At 37.1% G+C, this 18152-nt stretch overlaps 1 protein-coding gene across 54 annotated transcripts in view; it reads right to left on the minus strand.

The window, feature by feature from the left end:
* Positions 1-18152, minus strand: part of PUM2 (pumilio RNA binding family member 2) — a 103563-nt gene that overhangs the window by 50357 nt on the left and 35054 nt on the right. For 52 of the 54 annotated variants that reach the window (XM_047443807.1, XM_047443803.1, XM_047443815.1 and 49 more), the window contains 4 exons: positions 13189-13376; positions 12447-12616; positions 9267-9537; positions 8931-9024 (listed from right to left, as the gene is read on the minus strand). In XM_047443807.1, the coding sequence (XP_047299763.1) occupies positions 8931-9024; positions 9267-9537; positions 12447-12616; positions 13189-13376 (723 nt within the window). Of the gene's footprint in view, positions 1-8930; positions 9025-9266; positions 9538-12446; positions 12617-13188; positions 13377-18152 lie in introns of those variants that run through there. The other 2 variants (XM_047443828.1, NM_001352930.3) reach the window with 2 other exon arrangements.

Below are 18152 nucleotides of genomic sequence, written 5' to 3' on the forward strand. Positions count from 1 at the left end.
TAATAAACCAGTAAAAGTAAGTGTTCTATGAGGCACTCCAGCAAATCAAACCCAAAGAGGGGCTTGTGGGAACTCCAACTTGAAGCCAGTCGGTCAGAAGTTCTGGAGGCCCAGACTTGTGATCAGTGTGTGTTGGGGGTGGAAAGCAGTCCTGGAGACTGAGGCCTCAACTTCTGGGATCCGACATTGTCTCTGGGTAGACAGTGTTGGAACTGAATTAGAGGACACCCAGCTGGTGTCTCCTGCTTGGTGTGTGGAGAAAACCGCCCACACATTTGGTCACAGAAGTAGTCTGTGTTGTCATGGCATGAGAGTAGAGGAAAAACAAGGTTTTAGGCCAGGCATGGTGGCTCATGCCTGTGATCCCACGACTTTGGGAGGCCAAGATAGGTAGATCACTTGAGGCCAGGAGTTCAAGACCGGCCTGGTCTTGAACACAGTGAAACCCCGTCTCTGCTAAAAATATAAAAATTAGCTGGGTGTGGTAGCACATGCCTGTAATCCCAGCTACTCGGGAGGCTGAGGCATGAGAATTGCTTGAACCCAGGAGGTGGAGGTTGCAGTGAGCCAAGATCACACCACTGCAGTCCAGCCTAGGCAACAGAGTAAGACTCTGTCTCCTAAATAAATAACAACAACATGGTTTTAGAGAGTTTTCCCTATACACAATCATTTTTTGTAGCCTATTTAATTTTAAAAAATACAAGCCTCAACACTGATTTCTTGTCTAGGCACAACACAGCCATTTAAGAAATCTGCTTTTATCTATGAAAAGCGTCAAACTCGGTAAATTATTTGAAGAGATTTATTCTGAGCCAAATATAAGGGCCATAGGTACATTTTAAAATTTTCTGGTTGACAAATTGGTTGAGTTTATCTAAAGACCTGGGATCAATAGAAAGGAAATGCTTGGGTTGTGATAAGAGGTTGTGGAAACAACAGTTTTATCATAGAGATGAATCCTCCAGAGAGCAGGCTTCAGAGAGAATAGACTCTGTTCCTTAACAGACTTAAGGTCTGCGTTGATGTTAATGCTGGAGAGGTATAATGAAGCATGTCCAACCCCTACTTCCCATCACAGCCTGAACCAGTCCTTCAGGTTAAATTTTTTTTTTTTTTGAGACAGAGTTTCGCTCTTGTTGCCCAGGTTGGAGTGCAGTAGCACGATCTTGGCTCACCACAACCTCCGCCTCCCGGGTTCCAGTGATTCTCCTGCCTCAGCCTCCCGAGTAGCTGGGATTACAGGCATGCGCCGCCACGCCTGGCTAATTTTGTATTTTTAGTAGAGACGGGGTTTCTCCATGTTGGTCAGGCTGGTTGTGAACTCCCGACCTCAGGTGATCCGCCCGCCTTGGCCTCCCAAAGTGCTGGGATTACAGGCGTGAGCCATAGCACCCGGCCTCAAGTTAAATTTTAAGAGCACCGTGGCCAAGGAAGAAGTCCATTCAGATGGTTGCTGGGGGCCTTAGAATTTTATTTTGGTTTATACTTTCTGTGAAGAAAATATGAATTAAACTATGAGTTCAATAAAATCCTTTCATTTTAAAGCCATTCGTTGAGTCCTGTTTTTAGCTATGCCCTAGGTCAAAAAGGTTACAAGATTCCACTCAGGTTAGTGAAAGGAAAATAAATCTCCCGAAAATCACCAAGCCAAAAAGAAAAGTTAAGCTGGGAACTGCACTGGGCAAATCCTGCCTCCCATTCTATTCCTAAATAAGATAGCTAGAAAGATTGAAAGAGAAAAAAAAAAAAAAAAAAGCTACGCATCTGCCTCACAGTTTGCCCTCAAGGAAATTCCTTATGGACAAAGGACAGGCAGAGCTCAAAGTCATCGCTCTGCTCACATGAGAAAAAAGCGTATCTGATTTCTTCACCAAGCCAGACTAACACATAACTGATTATTCCCGTAAATTGTGCATTCAGTGAAAAACTAATCAGAAACTCAAAAGAATGCAATCATTTGTCTCTTATTTACCTATGACCTGGTAGCCCCCTCCCAGCTTCCAGTTGTCCCATATTTCCGGACCAAACCAATGTACATCTTATGCATATTGACTGATATCTCAAGTCTTCTTAAAATGTATAAAACTAAATTGTGCCCCAACCACCTTGGGCACATGTTGTCAGGACTTCCTGAGGCTGCGACATGGGCATGTCCTTAAACTTGGCAAAATAAACTTTCTAAACTGCTTGAGACCTGTCTCGGTTATCTTTTGGTTTGCAACTTCATCTATCATGAATTATCTTTATCACAAAAGTAGAAAACAATGTATTAGGGTTCCTGTTCTACTTATACCACTAAAAAATCTAAAAGTTTAATTTAATATAGTTTTATGATAAAAAGATTGTTATTAAAAATTCAAATACTGGGAGATATAAAGTGGAAAGTGAAAATCCTCATGTAACCTTTCCTGATATGTATACATACTTTTAAACGCATATATACTCATTCATTTTGTACTCTAATCTATAACTGTACTTTAATACACTTTTTCACCTACCAATTAATCATAAATCTCTGTCTACAGATACAAACCTAGCTCATCCTTTTTTTTTTGAGACAAGGTCTTGCTCTGTTGCCCAGGCTTGGGGTGCAGTGGCATGATCATGGCTAATTTCAGCCTTCACCTCCCAGGCTCAAGCGATCCTCCCACCTCAGCCTCCTGAGTAGCTAGGACTACAGGTACGCACTACCATACCTGGCTGATTTTTGTAGAGACAGGGTTTTGCCTATTGCTTAGGCTGGTCTCAAACTCCTGGGCTCAAGCAATCCACCCAACTTGACCTCCCCACAATGCTGGGATTACAGGCGTGAGCCACTGTGCCCAGCCACTCATTCTTTTTAATGGCTACATAATATGTAGTCTTCTGTATAGAAGGAACATGATATAATCAATCTACTACTTTTATATATTTAGATGGTTCATAATCTTTTGCTATAAATAAATAATGCTATTATTCTCTTTAGATACACAGGTCTGTACATTACTATATCCTTAAAAAAAATTTACTTCAACAGACAAAAACATAAATTCTCTTTTTAAGAGACAACGTCTCACTATGTTGCAGAGTTCAGGCTGGTCTTGACCTCCTAGGCTCAACTGATGTTCCCGCCTCAACCTCCAGTAGCGGAGAATAAAGGCAGGTGCCAACACACCTGACTTTCCTGTTTCTGTCATATAAATTCTTGATCCACATTTCTAGATTATTTTCCAGGAAAACTGTACCAGTTTACATTCCAAAAGTATGAGTGCCACTTACACTCCTGCCAAAACAGGACATTATCAAACATTCTGAAGACTCGCCAACCTAATAGGTAAATTAAAAAATTTTTTAAAAATTTTGTTTTAATCCATGGTTGTTTGGCTATCAACAAGGAAATTGTATCAAATCTTTTATGCTTTTGTTTTTCTCATTAAAAATTTCAGTCCATTAGGAATGAGACCCAATAACCGCCCCCCCAAGTTATTTTCCAAATAATCATTCTTTTGGCATTGATTTGAAATTCATCTCATCACTCTACCCTAAACAAGCATGCATGCACACATGGATCTATTTCAAAGTAATCTTGTTCAATGATCTACTCATACATTTTGAGTCCAGTACCACACTATTTTAATTGTCATAGTAATTGTTTTAAAAAACTGAAACTGTGCTCCAAAAAGTTAAAGAAAGCAGTGACTAATGAAAATTCTTGAGTTTGCAGGATGGCAGATATGAAAAGAAAGAATTTGCAGAAAGAAATGCAGAAACTCTGTTCAAATTTGCAGAAAGAAATGCAGAAACTCTCTAAGATAACAAAACTGGCTGAAATCGGTTAAAACCAATATGGACTGCAGTCTGTGCAGAACAAGCTTGCTGACATCACAGCCCAAATTTCCACCACGCTTCATACTAACTCTCCCGCAATTTGCACATGCGACCCATCAGGTGGCATGAAGAGATAGCTGTGCATGCTGAGGACTTCCCAGGCCTCCCCTTTTCTTCCACCAATTACTTAATAATCTCAAAATCCATCCCCTAAGGCCTTTCTAATAAAAATTACTCCCTTAAAGCCAGCACAGGGAGATAGACTTGAGCTGGATTCCTGTCTCCTTGTTGGTTGACCTACAAAAAAAGCTTTTCTTTTCTCAAAAACCTGGTGCCATAGCATTGGCTTCTACTGCATCAGGCAGTGAGTGCTTCTGCTCGGAAACAATATGGTTGAGCAAGTCCTCCTCCTCCGCTTTAATTTTAGTTTTCCATTAATTTTCTGGTTTTTCTGGGAGCACTGCTTGAGCCTGGGAGGTCGAGGCTGCAATTAGCCATAGGCCACTGCACTCTATGCCTGGGTGACAGAAAAGTACCATTTACTTTTCTGAGACAAACATCAAAATCAAGCTTTCAAGTTTTTTTTTTTTTTTTTCAAAAGAGAAAAAAAAACCTGCTGGGATTCTGACCAAGAGTATATTTAATACACACATTAATTTAGGGAGAACTGACATTTTTATAATGCTGAGTTTTGCCCAGAAAAATCACGTCTCCATTTATTCAAGACTTCTGGAAAAGTTTACAGTTTTCTTTACAAATGCTTTGTACATCCTTACTTACTCCCTAACTCATTCCATAGCTTTTCATTTCTCCTTTACATTTCCCATGTCTTGATTACCATAGGGAATTTCAGTGTTCTGGGCGACCATCTACGTTTTATATCCTAATTCATTTAGCGGTAGGTGATAGCCAATTATGCAGCTCACCTAGAACTATTTTTTCAATGACTTATTTACAAGACCATGAAATGGCTCCTTTTCACAGCAATCTGTTGTTTTAAGACTTCTGATAATCTCTGATGGCTCACACCCTTTATCTCTTAAGGTTCTGAAAATACTCTTACATTCTTTGCACAACTTTAAAGTTCCCTTCCATAACTTAGAACTCTGCGACATGTTTTCTGGCTGATCCTTCTTTGTACTGTCATTTTTGTTTGAAACATTATCTTACATGAGAGTTTCTCTTGCACTCACTTGTTCATTATGTGGTATCAGAATTATTGCCTAAACTACATACTATAGGGTCAAATCTCCAAACCAGGTCTTTTATTAGTAGCTGGGGGAGCTCTTACATGGTTACTACAACTCAACCCCCAAAGCCTGAACTGCATAGGCCCCTTTTTGTTTGTTTATTCCTCTTCTAGCCATCTGTAGGTCACCTGGCTTTATTCCCAATTTACCCCCCTATGGATTCTCCCTCAACTCCTTGTACTCTAGGAACTCTCCAACCAACTACATAACCCTGTCTTTTTGTTTTCATTCTATCCTATCTATTATTTCTGTCTGGCCAAGTACATGGGTTAAGCCTGCGTCTTACCTATTTTTGTACAAACTAGCTAAGAATAGTTTTAATATTTTTAAATGGTTCAAAAAAATAAAATTCAAACACATGAAAATTATTTGAAATTCCTATTTCAGCACCCATAAGTAAAGTTTTACTGGAACATAGCAATATTTATGCATCATCTAATAACCATTTTCATGCTTTACCAGCACAGTGGAGTGGTCGTGACCAAACCCATATGGTATGCAAAGCTTTAAATATTCAACAGCCTTTTGTACAGAAGACATTTGTCAACTCACACTCTAAAAATTTTCCACATATAGTCACTGTGCATTTAAAATGTGACTAGTTTGAGATCAGCTATATTCAAAGCTGACTTGAGATCAGCTATATTTCAAAAACAATATAAAGAAAAGAATGCAAAAATTCTCATTAGTAAGTTCCATATTGACTACATTTTGCAATATTTTGGATATGAGCTAAATAAAATATTCAAATTAATTTCACCTATTTTTTAATTTTTAAAAATGTGATTACTAAATAACTGCAAATTATATGGTACATATTATACATATTTCTATCGACTAGTCCTTTTCTAAATGAGCTATTGGCCAGCTAAGAGGTGACCAGGCAAATTTGGATAAAAAAGATTGTCAATAATGAATTTGCTTAACTGTGGAATTGAGTTAAAATGTGGGGTCAATTTTGATACACTATGCTTTCTAGGTTTTCAAATTTATTTATATTAGGTTTCTCACACATGAAAGTTCTGCCACATCTTTAAAGATTACGTAAGTCCAATATTATTAAAATACTCTAAGGCATTAAAATAAGAAAGAAATGGCTGGGCGCAGTGGCTCATGTCTATAATCCCAGCACTTTGGGAGGCTGAGTCAGGTGGATTACTTGAGCCCAGGAGTTCGAGACCAGCCTGGACAATAGGGTGAATCCCCGTCTCTACAAAAAATTCACTGGGCATCATGGCTCGAGCCTATAGTCCCAAGCTATGTGGGAGGCTGAGATGAAAGGATTGCTTCAGCCTGGGAAGCTGAGGCTGTACCACTGCACTCCAGTCTGGGTGACAGAGTAAGACCCTGTCTTCGAAAAAAAAAAAAAAAAAAAAAAAAAGACGTATCTAAAATTATTTTTGTGAAGCAAGAATGCTGACACTAAAAAACGTGAAAAAACTGCAGATACACAGAGACTAATTTCATCTAACTATATAGATGCAAAAATCCTAAATGAAATACTAGCAAATTGAAAGAGTATGTTAAAAGAAATAATTATTATATACAAGTCTTTTTTATTCCAAGAATGGGAAGACGATTCAACTATTTTAAAATATCATTCATGAAATCTGATATATGGTACTTGAGTTTTCATAGATAACACTTTAAAGCTACAATGAAAGACAGGAAGAAAGCCATTTACAATAACAAAACATAAAATACATAAAATAAACTTAGAATGAAATATGCAAACCCCTATGAGAAAAATTTTAAAGCACTCAAATGACACTACAGTAAACTTGAACAAAAATAAAGACACATCACACCCTGGACAAGAATACTTGATGTCAGCAGGGCACGGTGGCTCACGCCTGTAATCCCAGCACTTTGGAAGGCCGAGGTGGGTGGATCACTTGAGCTCAGGACCAGCCTGGGCAACATGGTGAAACCCTGTCTCTACAAAAAATTTGCCAGGTGTGGTGGCGTGCACCTGTGGTCCCAGCTACTCGGGAGGCTGCGGCGAGAGGATCACTTGAGCCTGGGAGGCAGCAGTTGCAGTGAGCCAAGACTGCACCACTGCACTCCAGCCTGGGTCAAACAACAAGACCTCCTTGTCAAAGAAACAACAACAAAAACAATAACAACAAAAAAAACCTGATGCTTGATGGCATAAAGATGTCAAATTTCCCTAAGTAAATTACAACATTTAATCCTATCTTCTGGAAGTAGATAAGCTAATTTTGAAGTTCATACAAAAAAGCAAATAAGCAAGAACCAAAAACTTAAAACCCCAAAAAAGAAGAGTAATAGATGTATTAGCCTGCCTAATAATATAAAGCCTCGAGAAATAAAAACCGTTGTGCTGTCCATGAATAGACAGGTAGCAGTACATTTCTAACATAAGAGGACAAACAAGGGATAAAGCGGGTGGGGAAAAAAGGAAAGAGAGGCAAAAAGAGGAAAGAAACGGGGCCAGAGTACATGCTGCGACTGGCACTCACCTATAAATGTGGACTTTTTTTTTTTTTTTTTTTTCTTGAGCGGAGTCTCTCTCTGTCACCCAGGCTGGAGTGCAGTGGTGCAATCTTGCTTCACTGCAGCCTCCGTCTCCCAGGTTCAAGCGATTCTCTGCCTCAGACACCCAAGTAGACGGGATTACAGACCCCCACTGCTAAGCCCAGCTAATTTTTGTAATTTTGTAGAGACGGGGTTTCACCATGTTGGCCAGGATGGTCTCAAACTCCTGACCTCAGGTGATCCACCTGCCTCAGCCTCCCAAAGTGCTGGGATTTCAGGATGGCGCCACTGTGCAGCCTGACATTTTTGATGAAAACAAAAAATAGGCCAGACGCGGTGGCTCACACCTGCAATCCCAGCACTTTGGGAGGCCGAGGGGGGGCTGATCACCTGAGATCCGGAGTTCAAGACCAGCCTGGCCAACATGGTAAAACCCCCGTCTCTACTAAAAATACAAAAATTAGCCAGATGTGGTGGCAGACGCCTGTGATCCCAGCTACTCAGAAGGCTGAGGCAGGAGAATCTCTTGAACCCAGAAGGCGGAGGCTGAAGTGAGCCGAGATTGCCCCACTGTACTCCAGCCTGGGTGAGAGTGAGACTCTCTCTCCAAAATAAACAAACAAAAAAACTGAAAAATAAAAATTAGGGCTTAGGAAGCCTTATTGCACTAACACAGAAGAATATGACATTAAGGAAAGACAACCCCCTTCCATAGACTCTGATGTTGACAGTCTTCATACAAACTTAGACAAAATCAGACAGGCATAAAAATGTTTACACAAATCTACACCTGATAAAATAAAATAAAACTATACATACATACTGCATCAATATCATATTACTGTTTTTGATACTGTACTGTAATAATTTAAGTGTAGCCATTAGGGGGAACTGGGTAAAGGGTATAGGGAAGTTATTCCCATATTATTATTGTGGGAGGTAGTGGGGAGACCTAGTACAGACAACATCATGTACCAAGCTTGAATTCTAGCAGATTAAAAGTCAAAGACCAAATAACTTCATGGAAAAAAATATTTTACAAAAAAATGTAAATGAACATACTGACTTGATAATGGACACAAGTAAATTTGAATTTCCAAGTGTCTGACTTTCTCAACTTCACATTGGAGAAAAACTTATGTGATAATAACTTTTATCGAATTACAGATTTTTATTTAATTAAACCAGTGATGCAAATAATAATCAGAAACAATTCCCTAGTTAATAAACACCTTTGTCATACAACCTATTACTTGTTGATCTCAGATGTTTCAAAAAGTAACAAAACCTCACCAATCAGTAAACGAAAAGTGAAACATCCTAGACATTTTAACAAGACTTTGGTCAAAATGAGAACGTATGAAGACTCACCTATATGTGGCTGCTGAGCTGCTGCTAATGCATATTGCTGCTGTTGAGCTGCAGTTAACTGTTGAACTGTTAGTGCATTAGTCCTCTGAAAGAGCTATTAGGGAAAATATTTAACACAAAGATTAGTGTCAAAATCTTTCATTTCTAATTAGAAATCTGAATAAAACATTTTAAACATTTTTTCTTTGGGAGGACTTTCTCAAATACAGGACACTTTAATCAATAAAACATTTAGTACTCAAAAACCCCTACCATTCTTTTCAATGCCACATAGCACTTCAGGCTAAACCAGTATACAGTTAAGAGGACCTTCTTAAAGAAAGAACATGCTTTTACCTGCTGCTGGGAATTGTAGTCAAAAAGGCCTACAGTAGCTCCTGAAGAGTCCATTGGTACCTGATTACCAGGATAGTCAAACTGTAAGGATTCCAGACCAACTTGTTCCATGGCATCCAGATTCTGAGTTTCAGGATTTGAAAATTCTTCAACAAGTGGTTTATTAGCTGTAGGATTAGGAAGAGGCCCCAGTCCTTCTGAGGGATTAGTATTGGGGCCCAAGCGCTCAACTACTTCAGTTGGAGAGGCTTGACGACTTCCAGGAGTACGACTACATAAAGAAAATAGAAAAGCATTATGAATAAAAGTAACAAGTCAAATAGCGAAATGGGAAAATAGAAAAATCATGAAAAACAAATGGTCATAAAACACAATGAATAAGGCATTCTGGGTCACTATGCCACCTTATCACATTTTTTTCTATTTAATATAACTTTCCTCTTAACAGCTGGCATGATTTGAGGATTTTAAAAATATTATTAATGATTACTCCCTTCAATCTGAATAACATAAAGATATAATGCAATTTTACACATTAGAAAAACTGGCCAGTATCACAACTTAGGCTTATACTACCTGAAATCTCTGTCTCAAGTCACAGTCACAAAGAACAGTGTATTAACAGCAGGTTATTAAGTGGCAAATATGAAAAAGCTCAAAACCAAAACCCACTTACCATACTGCTGTCCTGCCCTGCCAACACATAATTTTGCCATAACATCCTGCTTAATAATACTTAAGAAAAAAATCTGGCCATAAGAGATCATAATGGTCTTCATTATTTAAGGGGCCAAAATGTGGGATGCAACAGGAAAAGAGTACTATACATGATAAGTCAAAAGGCTGACTTCTGACTTTGTCTTTTAAATATGATTTTGAGCAAGTCATGTCATCTTTCAAGCTGCAGTCTTCTTATTGAGGAGACTTAAGAGATGACCTTTTGATTCCAACTAATAAGAACAAAAGCAACTATTTATGAAAGCCCACTATGAAAGCCCTCCGAAGACCATGCTTATTATACCAAATAGTTCAGCTGAAACCATCAGAAAGAAATCGAAATGTATGACATTTATCAAAACTTAAGTATACACAGCAAGAAAAGGATCTTTCTACATTAAAAAAAAAAAAAAGGACCTTACTACTATACAGCCTCCTTAATTTTCACAAGGAATTCATTAACACTGGACTAAATTTTAAGCACTGGCTTCTCTTTTTATTAACACCTTCATGGTCTAAACTTACATTTCTAGCCCATTATCAATCCTCATTTATAGCTTATCTTATACATAAATGTTTTATATAGGATCCTTTCCTTTGTAAGAAAGAGTTTATTGTTCAGAGTAACTATGCATTCACAGGATATTCAAACTTGAGTACATTAAGTAAATGGCAGTAACTGTTCTACCTGGCTTTTAATGCCAGTTGCTACAGCTAACTCTTCCCAACTTCAGGTGGTCTGAATTGGAATAAATTTGCTAACATATAGAGTAGTTTACAAAGCAATTTCTTGATTACAAGAATTGTTCTCTGTAGATATGTAAGCAAACTTACACTCACTTAAACATCAACCATTTTGTCCTTGCAAAATCAGAAGATTTCAAACTCCTTTCCCTTTAAGCCACACCTAATTTTGTACGTGAACATCCCAAAGGCTCTTTTTTCATTTGGAACATATGGAATGAAAAGATAAAACTAAAAGCATTTTCTTTAAAATCAGCCAATTTTTCTTTAAAAAATAAGTGTCCAATAGTTCTTTTACTCATTTCTGTTCTACTCCAATAATGTATATATTGATGACATATTAGTTAATGTAGAAATTAATGATGTGCTGGCATAGTGACCGTATGACCACAGCTGTTGATTGTGTTAACACATTTTAATACTGTCAAGTAGTAACTAATACTGTATCTAAAATAATTAGTAATTTAAAAGATACCTAAAAACTTAATGGAATAAAATTAGAATGCTAATAAATGTAAAGTCCACATTAATATTTCAGGGGAGACGTATAACCTCTCACACAAAGTAACTCGTATATAGCAAAAATAGAGGACATTAGGAAAAAAAGTAATGCTATCAGTGGTGCTATTTTCTTGCTATAGTTAATGGTGTATTAACACTTCAATTATAAATGTATACTCTGAAGGGTTTATCATCTACTTAATTTTACATGCATTTCCTTTACTAAAACTTAGATTAGGTAATAGTGAAGAACAAACTCGAAATAAATTTCTAAATCTGAATAGCATTAAATGTATTTCTTGTTAAAAGAGGTTTACTGGTTTTGGATGCTTTTTTGCACTCAGAACAGATAGAAATGGCACTGTTTTTAAGAAGCATTGTTACTTTGCTTTTGAAGGCAATAAATGTAAAAGTATACCACCCACCATATACCTAATACTTTTTTATGTAAGATTCCATGGTCATAAGACCTCAAAGAAACAACTCATTTTCAGATACAAGCTCCAAAGCACCTCATTATTGAAATACTACAGAAAATCAATACAAAGAAACAACTCCCTAATATATAGATAAATATATACTGTCTAATCTAAGACCAAAGGCTAAAGTACTCATTTAACTGCCATAAAAAGACAACAAAAGGCTACAATGTAAAAAATTATGAGCTTAAAGCTAACTTTTAGAAGTCTCTAATATGTTCCCTATTTGCTATTTGCAGGAATAATCTTAAGTATTAGCACAAACTCATATATTTTAAGAAAGATTACTGCTCCTAAGCTAATTTTGTCTCCTCTTAAAAGTTAAATGGGAGGCAGGGCATATATACTCAGAAGGAAGAAAACTCCACTGAAAGGTGCTCAAAAGCACTCCCAAGAGGGGAAAAAAAAAAATCAGAGTAAACCTACAGTTCACTAAAATTTAACAGAGAGGAAAAAGTTCAAATTTAGACTATTATATTACCAGAAAAGTAAGCACAGCTTCTAACATTACTCCTTCAACAGAATGCACTGTTTCAGAGGCTGGTTTGAAGATTATTTTTTTAAAATGGTTCATAATCACAAATTTTCTTTATAGTAAAAAACTAAAATTTGTCCAGATTAACACAAAGTTCAAAGGAAATAAACCTAAATGATGAAAATGTCTAAATCAGTCACATCAACTAATAGTAATAATCCCTAAAAAGATACGCTTTTCTTCTTGAGAAAGTTAAAATCTTACTTAAAATCTTTGCAATCGGCATCCATTCCATTTGGCAAACCTCTGCCATTTATTTTAGAATCATCATCATCTCCTTGTTTAAGATCTCTGTTTTGGTCCTCCTCAAATGGAGAAGCCTTGCCTTTTTGATCTCCTTTCTCAGGTCCATCTGTTTCAGCATCTCTAGTGCCCTGAGGAAAAAGAATCTGTTTGATTCTGAATATTTAATAGAACACAAAAAAAAGGCACCATAAGGTGACCTAACACTACACTACAGTGCATGTAAACAATAAAAGCATTGAATCTTATTTAATTTCGTAGTCAATTAATTTATCAAAGGCCAAAAAATTGCGTACAAACTAGTGATTTATAACAGAAGGGCTAAGGCAACCTTAACTATAGCGGTGCTGGAAAAGCAGTTAACACCACAAACTAGATTAAAATTTTCTTTAATGCGTAGACGATTTTGTTTAGTTACTTTCAGATCAAGCACTACCAGGAATAAGCAATTTTAATTTTACAGATTATGTTTAAAAATTAGTATGATTTGACTTTTGTAACATGGTTCAGATTATACATATTTCCAATGGTTCTATCATTTCACGTTTTTCAAGTGGCTAAGCAGAAGAATAGCAATAATAGTTACAAAATTTCTCTTAGCTATAGGAAGGGCACAGAAAAACAAATTGAATTAAAAATAAAAGTAACGTAACCAAATAACTCTCAAGCAAATATTAAATATTTCTTTATTCAAAATACTTACAAAATTTCCCTTCCTAAATCGAGAATCCAATTTATCAGCAGGAGAAGAACTTAATACATATTCTACCATGCTCACACCAAGGCCTCCACTTTCTGATCGCGGAGACAGTATTGCATTTACTTCACTGTTTCCATGAAAACCCTGTCCAGATCTTCTCTGTACCATAATAGGCTGGGACATTGAATGGTCTGTTTGGAAGAAAAAACACAATTATATACTTATACTTTTAAGTTAAACAAAATGTAGTTAAATTAATATACTGAAGTAAGAAAAATCAGCACATTGTTTTATTTTGAATGTTATTACTATAATCTTTATATAAAGCTCTTCATAGGACACAAACAAATGGAAGAACATTCCATGCTCATAGATAGGAATAATCAATATCATGAAAATGGCCATACTACCCAAGGTAATTTACAGATTCAATGCTATCCCCATCAAGCTACCACTGACTTTCTTCACAGAATTAGATAAAATTACTTTAAATTTCATATGGAACCAAAAAAGAGTCCGCATAGCCAAGACAATCCTAAGCAAAAAGAACAAAGTTGGAGACATCACGCTACTTGATTTCAAACTATACTACAAGGCTACAGTAACCAAGACAGCATGGTACTGGTACCAAAACAGATATATAGATCAACGGAACAGAACAGAGGCCTCAGAAATAACACATCTATAGCCACCTGATCTTTGACAAACCTGAGAAAAACAAGCAATGGGGAAAGGATTCCCTATTTAATAAATGATGCTGGGAAAACTGGCTAGCCATATGTAGAAAGCTGAAACTGGATCCCTTCCTTATACCTTATACAAAAATTAACTCAAGATGGATTAAAGACTTAAATGTAAGACCTAAAACCATAAAAACCCTAGAAGGAAACCTAGGCAATACCATTCAGGACATAGGAATGGGCAAGGACTTCATGACTAAAACACCAAAAGCAATGGCAACAAAAGCCAAAATTGGCAAATGGGATCTAATTAAAGAGCTTCCACACAGCAAGATAAACTATCATCAGAGTGAACAGGCAACCTACAGAATTTGGGAGAAAACTTTTGGTTGAGACTAACTGGCTGGAGCACACATCTTGAAAATACAGACGGAAAGCGCCATTTGGCAATAAACATATAAAAACCTATGTTAAGAACAGTACAACCAAAAAGGTCAATAAAGGTAGAAATAGTATGCAAAGGATACTACCTAAAGGATCAGTTGCTTATAAACATCATTTTAAAAAGTTAACCTCCTTTTGACAATTTATAACGTAACAATTCATAATATAAACCTTCAGGGATAAAACCTAGAAGAGGCTGGACAGCAGGGGCTCATACGTGCTATCCCAGCACTTCAGGAGGCTGAGGAGGATCACTTGAGCAGAGGAGCTTGAGACTAGCATGGGAAACATGATGAGTTCCCATCTCTACAAAAAGTTTAAAAATTAGCCAAGCATGGCAGCACAGGTCTGTAGTCCCAGCTACTCAGGAGGTGAGAGCTGAGGGGGGAAGATTACTTGAACTCAGGAGGTTGAAGCTGCAGTGAGCCATGTTCACACCACTGTACTCCACTCTGGGTGACAGAGTGAGATCCTGTCTCAAAAAAAAAAAAAAAAAAAAAAAAAGGCCAGGGGCAGTGACTCACTCCTGTAATCCCAGTACTTTGACAGACTGAGGCGGGTGGACTGCTTGACCTCAGGAGTTCAAGACCAGCCTGGGCAAAAAGGCGAAACCTCATCTCTACTAAGAATACAAAAATTAGCTGGACATGGTGACGGGCACTTATAGTCCCAGCTACTAAGGAGGTTGATGAGGTGGAAGGATCACCTGAGCCCGGGAGGTCAAGGCTTTGGTGAGCCGTGATTGTGCCACTGCACTCCAGCCTGGGTGACATGAGACCCTGCTCCCCACTGCAAATAAATAAATTAAAATAACAATAAAATAAAATAAACTTTCGATTTGGCAGAAACACTTCTCAAGTTCACAGTTACGCACTGGATAGATCAGAACTCACGACTATAACGCTATAATCACAAATGAGTAAGTCCAGAAAAATCAGTAATACCACAGAATTTTCTATTCTTGGTTAAAAAAAAACTAAATTATCTTCTATCTTAAAATTTTTCAATTTATTTTAAAACAAAATTATTCATTTGATATATTTTTTCTCCATACTTTTGCAATGAAAAGTAAAGGTAGTATTTAAGATCTGAGAGTTAATGGAATGCAAATATAGTAATACATTTGAGGCAACATTCAAATAGTTTTTGCTGGAAACTTTTTTGAAAGAACCGGTAAGCTACCAGCTACCTCTGACTTGTTTGTGACAGGTATAAATACTCAATATTTAAACTATTGAGGCTGAAATGTCATACTGGTAGCCAGTTATCATTTTATTAACTGTAATAATTTTGAAATGATGGCCAGGTTTGTTAAACCAAATCAAAACATTTCCATTTCAGTATGTGCATCCAGGAGATTAGTCATTATATCCTTTCTTTCAGTCATGTATCCGTTCATTACACAGTTGAAATATTGATTCATTCTCTTGTATGCTAAGCAATGAGCTATACATGAGGAATCCGAGAACAACACAGTTTGTCCTCAAGAGTACAGGTTTAATAAAAGGCAATTAGAATAGAAAAAAGTGCTTTAACAAAAATATAATCCATGATACTATGAGATCTGAAAGATGGGCATTCAAGTCTAACAGAGCTTAAAGGAAAAAGTAAAATTTAAGGAAAAAAAAAAAAAGCAAAAGTACGAAAGATGGGCATCAATCCTTCCAAGTCTTCAAATCAATGCCACCAAAGGAAGTGTGCTTCTTTTTTTTTTTTTTTTTTGGTGGGAAGGTGCAGGGTCTCACTATATTGCCCAGCTGGTCTCAAACTCCTGGCCTCAAGTATCTGCCAGCCTTGACCTCCTAAAGTGCTGCAATTACAGATGGAAGTGATATTTCAGCTGATAAGGGTTAAAAAAAAGGTAACCAATGGGGAGGTGAGAGTGATAGGACATTTCAGTTACAGAAACCGGCATGTTCAAATGCCAAGAAGTGCTGGAGAACATGATGAACCTGATAATCACAAGTAATGTGGTTCTGCTGAGAGGAAGTATGTCAAGTCTCCTGCAGTCATGGAAAGAGACTCTCTTAGAATGACAATTCCTTTAGAACAAGAAGGTGTTATGCATATTTTTATGTGTCTGGCATTCAATAAATGTTTGTTAGGTAAACAAAATTCCATTCATTTCTAATTTTCTCATGGTTTCTAGTAAAAGACAAACACTCATCTTCAAAATGTTATGAGAGTTGGGAGATGAGTGGTACAAAAAATTGACTGAAATAATAAATTTCACGGTTTCTCTATCATCCATCTTGAAATAATCTCTCTGTCATGGTGTGCTCAAGATGCTTTGCTTTTCAACACCTCAAAAAATCTTTGGTTGGCTGGGCATAGTGGCGCATACTTTTAATTCCAGCACTTCGGGAGGCTGAGGCAGGTGGATTGTTTGAGCTCAGGGGTTTGCGACAAGCCTCGGCAACATGGTGAAACCCCATCTCTACCAAAAATACAAAAATTAGCCAGTCTTATAACCTGGTCTCAAAAAAAAAAAAAAAAAAAAAACAAACCAAAAAACAAAGATAAAAACTTTTTTAAATCATTGGTTCTGATTCTGGTAAATAAACTGTGCATTCAACTTTCAAATCATGTCCATCAACCAAGTTACCAAGCACACATGCTCTCAGCAAGAAATATGCCTTTTGTAGGGAAGATGTATCCCAGTCCAAATTACTAAATATTTAAAATTATGAGTCTAACCTAATATAGGTTAATTCTAATTCAGAAAAACAAAAATTCCTTGAGGACAAGGGTCATATAATTTATCTTTATATTCTCCAAACCTGGCATATTATGTATCACATATTAGTTGAACTCAAAGGAAATTTATAATGTTTAAAGAAAATTTTTGTCTAAATTACTTGTTGCCAACATTTGCAACCTACTTTGTTGAAATCACCAACATTTTCCAGACTTCCTAACCTTTTAGATTTTAGCTTTTTGGCAATTATTTTATTTTAACAATGAAATTAAACATTATATAGAAGCATTAAATCTTCTAATATATTTTAATGATTTAGAGAATAAGAAAATATCTCATGATTAACACTGGAAAAATAATGATAACTGGCTAATTATCATCCAAAAATTTGTTTTCATTATTACTTTGGTTATTCTGCAGAGCTTAAGCAAACTGTATTAACTTAAAAAAAAAAAAAGAAAATATTTGTAAAATATATGATCTAGCTGTACGCCTCTCAGATTTTACTAACTGGAAACATTTTAAAATATAATCAGTAAAATGATATGCTAACTACTTTAATACAACTATGGGCCGAACAAGGTGGCTCACGCCTGAGGCAGGAGGATCACTTGAGGGCAGAAGTTCCGAGACCAGCCTGGGTAACATAGTGAGACCCCCATCTCTAAAAGAAAGTTTTAAAAATTAGCCAGACACGGCCAGGCATGGTGGCTCATGCCCTAATCCCAGCACTCTGGGTGGCTGAGGCAGGCAGATCACCTGAGGTAAGATTTCGAGACCAGCCTGGCTAACATGGCGAAACTCCATCTTTACGAAAAATATGAAAATTAGCAGGCTGTGGTAGCGAGCACCTATTATCCCAGCTACTCAGGAGGCTGAGGCAGGAGAATCACTTGAACCTGGGAGGCGGAGGTTGCAGTGAGCCAAGACTGGGCCACTGCACTCCAGCCTGGGCCACAGAGCGAGACTCTGTCTCAGGGGAAAAAAAAAAAATTAGCCAGATGTGATGGTGTGAGCCTGTAGTCCTAGCTACTCAGGAAGAGGAGGCAGAAGGATCTTTTTAGCCCAAAAGCTTGAGACTGCAGCGAGCTAAGATCATGCCACTGCACACCAGCCTAGGCAACAGAGCAACACCCTCTTAAAAA

This window comes from Homo sapiens, chromosome 2 (assembly GCF_000001405.40).
Source record: "Homo sapiens chromosome 2, GRCh38.p14 Primary Assembly".
Lineage (NCBI taxonomy): Eukaryota > Metazoa > Chordata > Mammalia > Primates > Hominidae > Homo > Homo sapiens.